This window comes from Homo sapiens, chromosome Y (genome assembly GCF_000001405.40).
Source record: "Homo sapiens chromosome Y, GRCh38.p14 Primary Assembly".
In the NCBI taxonomy this organism is placed as follows: Eukaryota; Metazoa; Chordata; class Mammalia; order Primates; family Hominidae; genus Homo; species Homo sapiens.
This window is the reverse complement of record NC_000024.10, coordinates 337682-352634: the sequence shown is the minus strand read 5'-3', so window position 1 is coordinate 352634 and position 14953 is coordinate 337682. Positions and strand designations below refer to the sequence as shown.

Here is a 14953-nt window from a genome sequence, read left to right as displayed (position 1 = left end):
TGTTTCCTGCTCAGGGAGCTACTCTGAGGTCAGCAGAGCCATAATGGAATAGGGTTCAGCAGTACACAGGCAGACGATCCACACAGAGCAAGGTGGGCAGACGATCCACACAGAGCAAGGTGTGTGAGTCCCACACGCATGTGCTGAGCGAGGGAAGCCAGGTCTAAAAGTCCGCAGATGGCCGGGTCCCGTTGCCGTGTCCTGGAAAAGGTGAACTGGAGCCACGGGGAGGAGGCCTGGGGGCCGTCGCCGTAGCGGACTGCGGAGGGGCCGAAGGGACTGTCAGGGCTGGCGGCCTCGTTCCCTGTCCTGGCCGTGCGGGTGGGCGTGCCGCCGCGTTGCCGGGCCCCACAAGGAGTCGGTCTTTCTGTGTGTCGATCACGAAAAGACTTTTAAAAGTCAGATCAGGGTATCTGATGTTTTATTCCCTTTCCCATAAGGATTTTGTGACATTCAGGTAAAACTGCTTTCCTTTGTATCTTTTGCATTTTAGAGTTGATTATCTCCATTTACTTTAGGATTATTTTAAATTATGAGCTAATTCATTTGGAGGTAATTTTCGGGTTTGGTGTGGTGGGGGGACTGTGTGCCCAGCACTCTCCCGCTCAGTTCTCATCCCCCAGACGCCGGGGGTGCAGCTGTCTCTGGTTGCAGTGTCATCCCTGTAGTCCCAGCACTTTGAGAGGCCAAGGCGGGAGGATGGCTTGCGGCCAAGGGTTCCAGACCAGCCTCGGCAACATAGTGAGACTTCACTGTAGAAATTAAAAAAATTACCCAGGCATGATAGCGCGCACCTGTGGTCCCAGCTACTTGGGAGGCTAAGGTGGGAGGATTGCTTGAGCCCGTGAAGTTGAGACTGCACTGAGCTGTGATCACACACTGCACTCCAGCCTGGGCAACAGCAAGACCGTGTCTCGAAAAACAAGTAGAATAAAAATGGATCACGCTGTGATCACACACTGCACTCCAGCCTGGGCAACAGCAAGACCGTGTCTCGAAAAACAAGTAGAATAAAAATGGATCACGCTGTGATCACACACTGCACTCCAGCCTGGGCAACAGCAAGACCGTGTCTCGAAAAACAAGTAGAATAAAAATGGATCACGCTGTGATCACACACTGCACTCCAGCCTGCAGGTCTGGACACATGAGACGCTATATCCTGCACGGCTGGATAGATCTGATGCTCCATCCCTGCCACCGGGTCATGACGGTGTGTCTTGCACGCGGTGAGGAGCACAGATGTGAAGGCTCACACATCCCCCCATCCCTGGGTGTTGAGCGCTTGGGGTTTGAAACCTGCACGGCCTGTGAGCCAGAATGGTCTCATGAGGTCAAAAGCGTGGGACTAGCACTAGCCCAAGGACCCGGTGCTGCACCCGGCTCGTTCCCTCCCACCGCACCGGGACGCCCTTCCAGGTGGCCAGGGCTGAGCTCCGTCAGGATCCTCATCACGGGAGCCGGCACGTGCCTGTGCGTCCTGCGGGGCCCGGCCCCTCCAGCCGCACACGGCTGCCTTCAAGTCATCCACAGGTGCGCCAGCCGGAGCGCGTCCTTTCCCATAGCAGCACTGCAATCCCCGCTGTGGCGCGCAGCCCCCTCTGCAGTCCCCCACGCCCCCCCGTGGTCACTCCCGCCCTGCACCTGTCAGGACGACTCTGCCACAGTTTATTCCTCCAGTCCCTGCTCTGGCGTCCGGCTCCTCTCGCCTGGGGCACCGTGAACCAAGCAGCCGACGTCCCCATCTGTGCAGGCTCTCACGGGCACGGGCCCTCTTCCCACTGGTGTGCTTCTGGGAGGACAGATGTCCTGGCCGGGCCACGGGGCTTTACGCTCAGCCGCCCCGTGGGCCGCTTTCCCGGCAGCTGCGTGGCGTCCCAGTTCCCCCAGCAACGCGGAGGACACCCAGCTGCCTGGCAGCCTCGCGGGACCTGGCGTCTTCAGTCCTTTTTGTCTCAGCCGCGCGTGTCATGTTCTTGTTGCCACCTCTCCATGCCCTGTGAACCCTGCCCTCGCCGGCGCCAGTGCTGGGCGCTTCCCCTTGTCTACGGCCACCGTGCACCCCTCTCCGGAGGGCAGTGCATGTCCACTCGGTCGTGTTCGGGCCTCTTTCTCACTGATGCTTAAAATTCTGCCTCTGAGTCCCTCGTCAGAATCTCGCCTTGCAGAGACATTTCTCCCTCTGTGTCATGTCCTGTCATGGTGTTCACCGTGCCGGTAGCTGACCCTGAGTCCTGCGCTGGGGCGGTGCAGCGGTGCTCCCTTCCTTCAGGGAGCGCACGTGTGGCCCGTGAAAGAAACCTTGGCCGCGGCAGAGCCGTGCAGCGTCCCTCGTTTCCTTCCAGGAGGGGCCGCTGTTTGGCCTTTCACCCTTCGGGCTGGGATCCCCTGGTATTCAGTTTGTGTGAAGTGTCTTTGCCTGTGGATATTCCACGGGGCTCTGTCCCAACTCACTTCCTTCCCTTGCTCTCTTAGGCCACCGGTGCCCGACAGAGACTGACTGAGTCTTCATTACTCTGACTTTACAGGAAGGGTTGAAACCGGGCAGTGGGACTCATATCCACCAACTTGGTCCCCCTGTGAGTTCTTTTGTGTTCCCTGGTAAGTTTTCACATGAGCCTGTCCGTGTATACTACAAACCCCAAAACAACAGGCCCTCGGTGCATGTGGATGGGGATTGCTGGACTCTGTGGGTGGGGATCGCGTGGACTCTGGGTCAACAGAGTCGTCTGGAGGAAACTGCAGTCTGTGAACTCAGCAGTGAGGTCCACCTCACCACGTTGAGGTCGTCTTTGATTTCACCCAGCCGTGCCCTGCAGTTTGCTTTGTAGACACTGTGTGTGATTTTTGTTCCATTTTTCGTAGGTTGATTTTTCATGCTCTTGATAGATGGCATTATTGAAGATTTTATTTTTAGTTGTTTGTTGCCAGTATATTGAAATAATTTATTTTTGCATATAGTCCTTGGATCCAGCAACTTTGCTGAAGATACTTATTAATTCCCGTATTTGGTAAGCATTTGGATTGTCTACACAGTGTGTTGCTTGTGAATCATGACGGTTCTGCCTCTTCTTACCCGTCGTCGTATCTTTCGGTCTTTCCCTTGCCTGCTGCCCTGGCTCGGCCGTCCAGGCGGCCTTGGTGGTGACACTGTCCTCTTGTTCCCAGCACAGGGAAGAAGTGTTCATGTGTCATCGCTGTCTGAGCAGCTGGGGTGTTTCGTAGAGGCCCTTTGTCTGAGCATTCAGGCTGCTGTCAAGAAACACCATAGCCCGGGCAGCTTGTCACCAGCAAGACATTTACTGTTCACAGGTCTGCAGGCTGGAAGATCTCGGTGTGGCAGAGTGGTGCCTGGTTCATCGACGGCGCCTTCCCGCTGCGTCCTCACGGGGTGGAAGGGGTGAGGGAGCTCTCTGGGGTCCCTCAGAAGGGGACTCATCGCATTCATGAGGCCCCACCTCCCAACACCATCGCCTCGGGGGAGAGGATTTCAGCACGTGGATCTTGGGGACCCAGGCATTCAGGCCATAGCACCCTTTATGAGAATAAGAGTGTCCCTCCTGATTCTGGTTTCCTGGTCTATTATTATTATTAGATATTCCTGTTCTATTATTGCCGAGTTGGACTTGCTACTGTGTGTTCTGTGTGGGATTTCTGCCTCTGCTCTCCAGTGATAACTGGCCTGTGACTTCCTGTGTCCCTGACCGCGTCCAGGCTGTGCCAGCCTCGGAACAGGCACTGGGAAACGCCCCTCGTTTTTCTTCTCCAGGGGAACGCATGTGTGATTTCTTCCTTCAATGTTTGGTCGACTCATGGGAGCAGCCTTTGGGGGCTGGAATTTTCTTGGTGGGACAGTTTTAAATTATGGACACAATTTCTTGCAGAAACAGCTCTTTCAGATTTTCTATTGTAGTTTATTTTTTGACTTGTTCATCGGGGAGTCTGTTTCAGCAGTCATCTGACTTACAGGCATAAAGTGATTCATGAGCATCCACTATCTGATGTTTGTAGGATCTGTAGTTACAGCTGACATGGCTAATCTGTATTTGCTCTTTTTTTGAGACAGAGTCTCTCTCTGTCACCCAGGCTGGAGTGCAGTGGTGTGATCGTGGCTTACTGCAACCTCCACCTCCCAGGATCAAGTGATTCTCCTGCCTCAGCCTCCCGAGTAGCTGGGATTACAGGCGCCCGCCACCATGCCAGGCTAATTTTTGTGTTTTTAGTAGAGACGAGGTTTCACCATGTTGGCCAGGCTGGTCTCGAACTCCTGACCTCAGGTGATCCACCCCCCTCGGCCTCCTAAAGTGCTGGGATTACAGGCATGAGCCACCACGCCCAGCCAGCCAGGGTTAATTAATTTTTAAGAAATCTTTCAAATCATCGAGTTTTGATTTTGTTGATTTTCTGTTACTATTTACTTTGCGTTCCATCTCTGCCATGTATTTGTTCCTTTGGGGTAGAAGTGTAGACGATCGATTTTAAACTTTCCTTCCTCACGCGTGTATTTAAGGCTGTGAACCTGCCATGGGTCGCTGCTGTAGGTGCGTCCCACACATTCCATGAGATGTTTCTGTCGCCGTCCGATTCACCGCGTTGCCTGGCTGACGGGGCCATTTATTCCCGTACTTACTGGTTCTTAGTACGTGCCGCTTGATTTCCAGACGCTGGGGATGCAGCCGCCTCTGGTTACAGTGCCCACGCGTGGTCTGTGGTCAGGGGATACTGCGTGCCCGGCACTCCCACGCTCAGCTCTCATGACTGATTGAAGGCTGGAGCGAAAGCCACGTTGAGTTTGCAGATGCCCAGACAGGCCGCGCTGAGCGTGCTGTGTCTTTCTGCAGCAGAGGGTCTCTGGGCGGCGTCGGTCAGGCGCGAGGTACGCAGCAGGAGCGCCGGCGTCCAGGCCCTGCTGACTGCCCACTCCTGCCCTCTCTGCCCCAGGCCTGCGGCTGCCCCCTCTACTGGAAGGGGCCGCTCTTCTATGGCGCCGGCGGGGAGCGCACGGGCTCCGTGTCCGTCCACAAGTTCGTCGCCATGTGGAGAAAGTGAGTCCTGGGCTGGGCAGGGGGCTGTGTCGGGAGGGCGGAGGCGTCCCCGGGTCCCCGTGGTGCCAGGACGGGTGCCCCCTGAGGCTGCCGCAGTGAGAGGAGAAACCCTTGTACGGGCACAGGCCTGGCCGTCGTGTGTGGCCACCTGCCACGCACCACGTGGAACACCACACACGTGTTCCACCCTGCGTCTGCGGGGTCGAAAGCCACCCCCCTGTGAGGGTGGTGCCCAGTCATCCTGTCCTTCCAGAATCCTCCAGAACTGCCACGACGACGCGGCCAAGTTCGTCCATCTGCTCATGAGCCCCGGCTGCAACTACCTGGTGCAGGAGGACTTTGTCCCCTTCTTGCAGGTGAGAGCCTGCGTCTACACCACAGGCCTTATCCTTCACGGGAGGGCCCGCGTCTACACCGCATGCCTCATGGGAGGGCCGGCGTCTACACCACACGCCTCATCCCTCACGGGAGGGTCCGCGTCTACACCGCACACCTCATGGGAGGGCCCGCGTCTACACCACATGCCTCATCCCTCATGGGAGGGTCCGCGTCTACACCGCACACCTCATCGCTCACGGGAGGGTCCGCGTCTACACTGCACACCTCACGGGAGGGCCCGCGTCTACACCACATGCCTCATCCCTCACGGGAGGGCCGGCGTCTACACCATACGCCTCATCCCTCACGGGAGGGCCGGCGTCTACACCGCACACCTCATCGCTCACGGGAGGGTCCGCGTCTGCAGCGTCCACACCGCACACCTCACGGGAGGGCCGGCGTCTACACCACGCGCCTCGTGTCTTCCCACCCGCAGGACGTGGTGAACACGCACCCGGGGCTGTCGTTCCTGAAGGAGGCGTCCGAGTTCCACTCGCGCTACATCACCACGGTGGGTCCCCAGCGGAGGGGCCGTCGGTTCCAGCGCGGGGCGCGGGTGTTTCTGCAGCGGCCGCCGCGGGGCTTCTGCGGACGGGGCGGGCGGGGCCCGGGGTTCCTGAGCTTCCGGAGGAGGCGGCCGCGCTCTGGGAGAGTCTCCACCCGCCCGGGAGCCCGGTGTTGGGGGGACTCTGGTTTTCCGGGGTGGCCGCACCCCCTTCCCACCTGTCCTGGGCCCGTGTAGCTCCGGGGCGTCCCCGGCCAGACCCTCCCCGCTTTCCGCGGCCTGGGGCGGCGCCTCCCGCAGGGCCCTTCCCTCTGCCCCCGCCTGTGCCCTGGCGGCCCCGTGCGGCTGAGACCAAGGGCGCGCCCCTCTCCCGGCTCCCGGTCTCCGTGCGGGGCGAGGCTCCTGGGGGTCTCTGCGCACCCACCGCACTGACAGCGCCCCCGCAGGTCATCCAGCGGATCTTCTACGCCGTGAACCGGTCCTGGTCCGGCAGGATCACCTGCGCCGAGCTGCGGAGGAGCTCCTTCCTGCAGGTGCGGAGCGGCCCCCTGTCCCCTGCCCCCTGCCTTGTCCCTACCCCTCCTACCTCCACTCCCTTCCCTTCCCTCCTCCCCCCTCCCTCCTCCCCTCCCACCCCCTCTCCCACCCCCACCCCCACCCCCACCTCCACCGCGCTCCCAGCCCACCCCCAGGCCTGTGAGCACTGGAACCCCGCCGCCTGCGGTTGGGGGTCCACGGTTGATCTAGGAGGCGGGTGGGGCCGTACTGGGCACCACCCTGAGGGGGAGCCGAGCCCTGACTCCCCCAGAGCTGCCCCCACCCCCACACCCGCCTAGGGAGCCACCCCCATGCTGGAGCTCCCCCCACCGCAGAGTTGCCCCCACTCGGAGTGCCCCCCGGCCCCAGCTGCCCAGTCCCCCCCACCCACGGAGCGGCCCCGACCCTCCCAGCCTTCCCTGCCCCGCCCGCAGCCAGGCGGACTTGGGGCATCCCCGCAGAGGCCCCGCGCTCAGGCCGCCTGGGTCCTTTGGCAGAATGTGGCGCTGCTGGAGGAGGAGGCGGACATCAACCAGCTGACCGAATTCTTCTCGTACGAGCATTTCTACGTCATCTACTGCAAGTTCTGGGAGCTGGACACGGACCACGACCTGCTCATCGACGCGGACGACCTGGCGCGGCACAATGACCACGGTGCGTGGGGGCACAGGGGCGGGCGGGCCGCGCGGACACCGAGCACACCCTTCTCTCAGGGCCTGCGGGTCTGCAGCTGCCTCTCCTTCCGCACTCCCAGCTCTGTGTCTGCAGCTGCCTCTCCTTCGCACTCGCCGCTCTGTGTCTGCAGCTGCCTCTCCTTCCCCAGTCGCTGCCCCGTGTCTGGGTCCCCGCGTGCGCCTCTGCCCGAGGCCTCTGCCTGGGGGCGTCTACAGGGTCAGTGTGGGCCGCTGGTCCTGAAGCTCCTGGCCCGAGGGCCAGCAGCGCTGTGGGGCTTCCTTGTTAACACCCGAGCAAGGGCGGGCAGGCCACACGCCTTCCCTCAGGAGCTCCAGGTTCCAGCCCCCAAGGCCTGGAGCAGTTTCCATCCAATCCCGGGCTAGGTGGAGCCCCAGGCTTAGCGGTCGTTCATATACCTCCGCGGGAGCCGGTGCCGCCCAGGTGTCCTCACAGCAGCCACTGCCTCCCGGCCCCTCTAAGAGTCATCCACACTTGCAGGAACTCAAAGCGGCCTGTGGCCTGTGGGGCTTGAGTTTTCTAAAGGATTCCTTTAAGTGTGCTTTTTACCCCAAAAAACCATATGACCAAGACTGTTTCCGAATTACGGTGGCATCTGTTGTGTGTGGTCGACTCATAATACGCCTGGTTCCCCGAACGTGAGCTGCACCCGTCTGCGTCTCCCGGGGCTGGTCCTGGGTCGCGTGGCCGCAGTAGATCCCTGCGTCGGACGCGCACCTGAGCAGACGTAGCATTCCCTGGATTTGTCCTGCGCTCAGTTCAGGGAGCCACCTGCGCCCTGGGCCCCTAACTAGCCACGAGGAGAGCACAGCTCCACAGCGCCGGCCCGTGTGGCCTGGGCCAGCACCTGCACAGCTGGGAATCGGCCCAGAACCAGGCGCTCACTGTCCCTGTGAACCCCCGGCCCGGCGCGGCCCCAGCTTTCCGCGTTCCTCTGGAGCCCACTCTCGGTCCCAGGGCAGGATGCCGTGTGCGGCCGGGCTGCGCTGTTTCTCACGCACTGCGGCCTGAAGCGGGGGGCGGCACCTTGGCTCGTGCGTCCCAGGGACACCGGTGACCGCAGGGATGGCCGCCCAGGCTGCGGGACCTTCTCGTGGCCCAAGCTGACGGCGACGGTGCTTTCACTCCTGCCTCCCGTTGGTGAGGTCTCCCTCCCGCCTCCCGTTGGTGAGGTCTCACTCCGGCCTCCCGTTGGTGAGGTCTCACTCCCGCCTCTCCTTGGTGAGGTCTCACTCCGGCCTCCCGTTGGTGAGGTCTCAATCCCGCCTCCCGTTGCTGAGGTCTCACTCCCGCCTCCCGTTGGTGAGGTCTCCCTCCCGCCTCCCGTTGCTGAGGTCTCCCTCCCGCCTCCCGTTGGTGAGGTCTCACTCCCGCCTCCCGTTGGTGAGGTCTCCCTCCCGCCTCCCGTTGGCGACGTCTCCCTCCCGCCTCCCGTTGGCGACGTCTCCCTCCCGCCTCTCCTTGGCGACGTCTCCCTCCCGCCTCCCGTTGCTGAGGTCTCCCTCCCGCCTCCCGTTGCTGAGGTCTCCCTCCCGCCTCCCGTTGCTGAGGTCTCCCTCCCGCCTCTCCTTGGTGAGGTCTCCCTCCCGCCTCCCGTTGCTGAGGTCTCACTCCCGCGTCTCCTTGGTGAGGTCTCCCTACCGCCTCCCGTTGCTGAGGTCTCACTCCCGCGTCTCCTTGGTGAGGTCTCCCTCCCCCCCTCCCGTTGCTGAGGTCTCACTCCCGCGTCTCCTTGGTGAGGTCTCACTCCCGCCTCCCGTTGCTGAGGTCTCACTCCCGCCTCCCGTTGGCGAGGTCTCCCTCCCGCCTCCCGTTGGCGAGGTCTCACTCCCGCCTCCCGTTGGCGAGGTCTCACTCCCGCCTCCCGTTGGCGAGGTCTCACTCCCGCCTCCCGTTGGCGAGGTCTCACTCCCGCCTCCCGTTGGCGAGGTCTCACTCCCGCCTCCCGTTGGCGAGGTCTCCCTCCCGCCTCCCGTTGGCGAGGTCTCCCTCCCGCCTCCCGTTGGCGAGGTCTCCCTCCCGCCTCCCGTTGGCGAGGTCTCCCTCCCGCCTCCCGTTGGCGAGGTCTCCCTCCCGCCTCCCGTTGGCGAGGTCTCCCTCCCGCCTCCCGTTGGCGAGGTCTCCCTCCCGCCTCCCGTTGGCGAGGTCTCCCTCCCGCCTCCCGTTGGCGAGGTCTCCCTCCCGCCTCCCGTTGGCGAGGTCTCCCTCCCGCCTCCCGTTGGCGAGGTCTCCCTCCCGCCTCCCGTTGGCGAGGTCTCCCTCCCGCCTCCCGTTGGCGAGGTCTCCCTCCCGCCTCCCGTTGGCGAGGTCTCCCTCCCGCCTCCCGTTGGCGAGGTCTCCCTCCCGCCTCCCGTTGGCGAGGTCTCCCTCCCGCCTCCCGTTGGCGAGGTCTCACTCCCGCCTCTCCTTGGCGAGGTCTCACTCCCGCCTCCCGTTGCTGAGGTCTCACTCCCGCCTCCCGTTGCTGAGGTCTCACTCCCGCCTCCCGTTGGCGAGGTCTCACTCCCGCCTCCCGTTGGCGAGGTCTCACTCCCGCCTCTCCTTGGCGAGGTCTCCCTCCCGCCTCCCGTTGCTGAGGTCTCCCTCCCGCCTCCCGTTGCTGAGGTCTCCCTCCCGCCTCCCGTTGCTGAGGTCTCCCTCCCGCCTCCCGTTGCTGAGGTCTCCCTCCCGCCTCCCGTTGCTGAGGTCTCCCTCCCGCCTCCCGTTGGCGAGGTCTCACTCCCGCCTCCCGTTGGCGAGGTCTCACTCCCGCCTCCCGTTGGCGAGGTCTCACTCCCGCCTCCCGTTGGCGAGGTCTCACTCCCGCCTCCCGTTGGCGAGGTCTCACTCCCGCCTCCCGTTGGCGAGGTCTCACTCCCGCCTCCCGTTGGCGAGGTCTCACTCCCGCCTCCCGTTGGCGAGGTCTCACTCCCGCCTCCCGTTGGCGAGGTCTCCCTCCCGCCTCCCGTTGGCGAGGTCTCCCTCCCGCCTCCCGTTGGCGAGGTCTCCCTCCCGCCTCCCGTTGCTGAGGTCTCCCTCCCGCCTCCCGTTGCTGAGGTCTCCCTCCCGCCTCCCGTTGCTGAGGTCTCACTCCCGCCTCCCGTTGCTGAGGTCTCACTCCCGCCTCCCGTTGCTGAGGTCTCACTCCCGCCTCCCGTTGCTGAGGTCTCACTCCCGCCTCCCGTTGCTGAGGTCTCACTCCCGTCTCCCGTTGGTGAACCTTTGGTTGAAACGTGTTTGTTTCCGTGATCACACTCGAGGTCTCTCTCTCCGTCTGAAAGCTGTACCTTTGAGGCCTGAATATTCTGCTCTTTACAAGTCGGTCTTGGAGCCGCGGTCAGCTTTGCGCTCTGTGGATTTCATGCTGGACTTGGCTCTGCTCGACGGGAAAGCGTGGTGGGCCCCTAGGATGGGCCGTGCAGGGGCATCGGGGCCCCGGGGCTCTCCCAGACCCAGGCGTCCTCTCAGCTTTTCGGTCCCCACCGCATCCAGTCTCGGCTCCGGGGGGTGGTGACGTCGGGGCCGAGGCACGGTGCGGGCTGCCCATCAACCGCATTCCTTTCCAGCCCTTTCTACCAAGATGATAGACAGGATCTTCTCAGGAGCAGTCACACGGTACGTACGGCTCAGGCGCCTGACGGCAGCCATTGCCCCTGCGAGGACCCCGGTCCCTCTCCTCATCGTTGCCTGACGTGAGCTTTTTGTGCCCCGACAGCGAGTGGTTGTCACCCCAGGCCCTGGCGAGGGGGGCACGTGTCTCTGTCACGTGAATCCCTAGTGGGGGGGGGTGGCACAAGACTGTCACGCGAAGTCTGAGGAAGGGGGTGGCCCAGGCCCCAGGTCGGGGGTTCTTGTCGGGCGCTGGGCCTGAGTGAGCAGTAACGAAGGTGCACTCCTGACCCTGCCTGGATCTGGGGAAAACCCTCTGGCCACGGGGCCTCCACCTCCTCCCCGGAGAGGCAGGAGGAGGGGCAGGAGGGGGGCAGGAGGAGGGCCGGGCCCGGGGGGCTCCCCTCACCGAGGCGCGTGGACAGGGGCTCCGTTCCTGTGAAGCTCTCCCTGACATGCATCTTCGTCTCTCCATCCTGGCTTTCGATCTAGAGGCAGAAAAGTGCAGAAGGAAGGGAAGATCAGCTATGCCGACTTTGTCTGGTTTTTGATCTCTGAGGAAGACAAAAAAACACCGACCAGGTGGGTTCCTGCTGCGGCATGCGTTTGTCCCAGTGGAGGGGCCGGGAGCCGCCCATGTGACATGTGTCCCCAGGCGGATGCCTGCACGCCTGGTGGGGGCTGCACGGCACAGGGGGACATGTGCACGCCCGGTGGGGGCTGCACGGCACAGGGGGACATGTGCACGCCTGGTGGGGGCTGCACGGCACAGGGGGACGCGTGCGCGCCCGGTGGGGGCGGCAGGGGGCAGGGGATGCCTGCACGCCCGGTGGGGGCTGCAAGGCACAGCGGGGACGCGTGCACCCCCGGTGGGGGCTGCCTCAGGGGCTGCAGGTCACGGGCTGGGAGGGCCCAGGGCAGGGGCTGACAGAGCTCGCCGTGCCGCAGCATCGAGTACTGGTTCCGCTGCATGGACCTGGACGGGGACGGCGCCCTGTCCATGTTCGAGCTCGAGTACTTCTACGAGGAGCAGTGCCGAAGGCTGGACAGCATGGCCATCGAGGCCCTGCCCTTCCAGGACTGCCTCTGCCAGATGCTGGACCTGGTCAAGCCGAGGACTGAAGGTGATGCCCCGTGAGGGCATGGCCCAGGGTGAGGGGACGGACGGGCGAGAGGACGGCCCAGGGTGAGGGGACGGACGGGCGAGAGGACGGCCCAGGGAGAGGGGACGGATGACAGCCCAGGGAGAGGGGACGGACGGGAGGGAGGACGGCCCAGGGAGAGGGGACGGACGGGAGGGAGGACGGCCCAGGGTGAGGGGACGGACGGGAGGGGGGACGGCCCAGGGTGAGGGGACGGACGGGAGGGGGGACGGCCCAGGGTGAGGGGACGGACGGGAGGGGGGACGGCCCAGGGTGAGGGGACAGACGGGAGGGGGGACGGACCAGGGTGAGGGGACGTCCCTGTGAGGCGCTGTCCTACTGAGTTTGTGAGGAGGGCCAGCACCACAGGTGCCTAGTCTCACAGTGCAAGAACCTCCTATTCGGGGCGTCGACACCCCCCGAGGGGTGACCTAGAGAACCTAGGGCCGGAGCTCACCGGGGACGTTGGCACTGGGCTGAGGGAGCAGTTGCCACGTTCGTGCTGATGCCGCACAAGGCGGTCCTCCCCTCACCCCCCCCCCCCCCGTCTCCTCCCCTCTCACCCCGCCCCCCCCGTCTCCTCCCTTCTCACCCCCCCCGGCTCCTCCCCCCCTCTCGCCCCCCCCATCTCCTCCCCTCTCACCCCCCCCATCTCCTCCCCTCTCACCCCCCCATCTCCTCCCCTCTCACCCCCCCCATCTCCTCCCCTCTCACCCCCCCCATCTCCTCCCCTCTCACCCCCCCCATCTCCTCCCCTCTCACCCCCCCGGCTCCTCCCCTCTCACCCCCCCGGCTCCTCCCCTCTCACCCCCCCGGCTCCTCCCCTCTCACCCCCCCCAGCTCCTCCCCTCTCACCCCCCCCCGGCTCCTCCCCTCTCACCCCCCCCCGGCTCCTCCCCTCTCACCCCCCCCCGGCTCCTCCCCTCTCACCCCCTCCGGCTCCTCCCTTCTCACCCCCCCCGGCTCCTCCCCTCTCACCCCCCCCGGCTCCTCCCCTCTCACCCCCCCCGGCTCCTCCCCTCTCACCCCCCCCCCGGCTCCTCCCCTCTCACCCCCCCCCGGCTCCTCCCCTCTCACCCCCCCCCGGCTCCTCCCCTCTCACCCCCCCGGCTCCTCCCCTCTCACCCCCCCGGCTCCTCCCCTCTCATCCCCCCCCGGCTCCTCCCCTCTCACCCCCCCCGGCTCCTCCCCTCTCACCCCCCCCCGGCTCCTCCCCTCTCACCCCCCCCGGCTCCTCCCCTCTCACCCCCCCGGCTCCTCCCCTCTCACCCCCCCCCGGCTCCTCCCCTCACCCCTGTTCCCCCCACACCATCTCCCCAGCTCCTCCCACCCACCCCCGTGCCCTCTAAGGCAAAGGGGAGCCCCACCGTCCACGCCGCCTGGCTTCCTTCTGCATCTCAGAATCCAGCTCTGGGACTTTCACTTTGGAAATGGCTCTGAGGCCCGGGCACCGCCCTGCAGCCCTGCCCCCCCCGGCCATGGGGCGCCTCCTGCTGCTCAGTGTCCCCGGGACACCCTCTGGCCTCTGCCTGCACGGGGAGCTCCGTTCTCTGTAATTTCAGATCCAGCAGCGCCCCTGCTGGCCGCGCCTCCCTGCGCTAGTCCCAGTCCACGCATCCTTGGGGCACCGGTGGCCCCTAGTCGCCTCCGCATCACGGCCTCCCACGCCTCAGTCCCCACCCAGAACCAGGACACTCGCGTGTCCGCCTTTCACGTCAAACACGTGGCGTGAGAGCCCGGAGCTTCGTGCCGCGTCCTTAAGCACGTGTGACAGGACGCGCGCACCCCACACCCAGGCCCCGAAGGTGAGACCGGGCTCACGCGCCTTGGACGCACTCCCCTCCCCGCAGGGAAGATCACGCTGCAGGACCTGAAGCGCTGCAAGCTGGCTAACGTCTTCTTCGACACCTTCTTCAACATCGAGAAGTACCTCGACCACGAGCAGAAAGAGCAGATCTCCCTGCTCAGGGTGAGTGCGGCGGGCACGCGGGCCGGGCCGCGCCACGCCGTGTACGTAACCCGTGTGCTTCCTCCAGGACGGTGACAGCGGCGGCCCCGAGCTCTCGGACTGGGAGAAGTACGCGGCCGAGGAGTACGACATCCTGGTGGCCGAGGAGACTGCGGGAGAGCCCTGGGAGGACGGGTGAGTGGGGAGGACGGGTGAGTGGGGGGACGGGTCAGTGGGAGGACGGGTGAGTGGGGAGGACGGGTGAGTGGGAGGACGGGTGTGTGTGCAGCCGGGGGATGCGGGGTCAGTCAGGTGGGGTGCGCGGACACAGAGGGGCGGGGTGAGACCTGACACGGGGCCGGTGAGGTAAGGACAGCCGATGACAGGGCCGGGCCTCGGTGCAGTCTGCCCGTCATTCCCCGCGTGGGGTTCTGTGATCCTGGGCGCGAGGCTTCGCACATCAGGCCCAGCACGGGGAGGCCGAGTCGTGTTTCGCCAACGACGTCTGTCCTTATCCCACGGCTGGCACCTGCTGGGCAGGCTGCAGGGCCCGTGGCCATTCCAGCCTCCGCTTCGGCCTTCCAGCCTTGGAGGCCCTGAGAGGCCCTGGGCTGGTTGCTTTCTCACGGAGCGTGAGGGTTCTTCGTGTCTTCAGCATACAAACCCTTTATTTGCGACGTGTTCGCCTTTTTCCCAGTTTGTGACGTATGTTTTCACCCCCTCTTCACGTGGTGTCTCAGAGATGTTCTGAATTTGGAGGAGGAGACACTGACTGGTTATTTTTACAGCGGTGTTTCTGGTGTCATATCTAAGAATTCATTTCTGAATCCAAAGCCACGAAGATTTTCCTCTGCGATGTTTTGTGTTTTGGTCTGGGGTCCTCTTGAGTAACCTTCCCTGTGGGGTGTGAAGCTCGGATTGAGGTTCCCCTTGTGGTACGTGGGTGTCCGGGTGTCCGACTGTCCCAGCATCAGCTTTGCAGGCCGCAGCGTTGCCTCGGCGTCGTGACTGTGCCGTGTGCGGGCTCCGTTCCGGAACCTTCCTCCGTCCCACTGCTGCACGCGTCTGTCCGTTCCCGCGGCAGAGCTGGCTGTGGTGAGAAGCCTCCGACTTGGGC

The 14953-nt window shown here is 64.0% G+C and overlaps 1 protein-coding gene across 8 annotated transcripts in view; it reads left to right on the top strand.

The window, feature by feature from the left end:
* The window catches only part of PPP2R3B (protein phosphatase 2 regulatory subunit B''beta), a 52975-nt gene that overhangs the window by 34273 nt on the left and 3749 nt on the right, over nt 1-14953 (top strand). For all 8 annotated transcript variants that reach the window (NM_013239.5, XM_047442728.1, XM_047442723.1 and 5 more), the window contains 10 exons: nt 4942-5045; nt 5299-5401; nt 5860-5934; nt 6375-6461; nt 6963-7119; nt 10704-10752; nt 11239-11328; nt 11695-11870; nt 13739-13857; nt 13925-14031. In NM_013239.5, coding sequence (NP_037371.2) covers nt 4942-5045; nt 5299-5401; nt 5860-5934; nt 6375-6461; nt 6963-7119; nt 10704-10752; nt 11239-11328; nt 11695-11870; nt 13739-13857; nt 13925-14031 — 1067 coding nt within the window. The remainder of the gene's footprint in view (nt 1-4941; nt 5046-5298; nt 5402-5859; nt 5935-6374; nt 6462-6962; nt 7120-10703; nt 10753-11238; nt 11329-11694; nt 11871-13738; nt 13858-13924; nt 14032-14953) is intronic.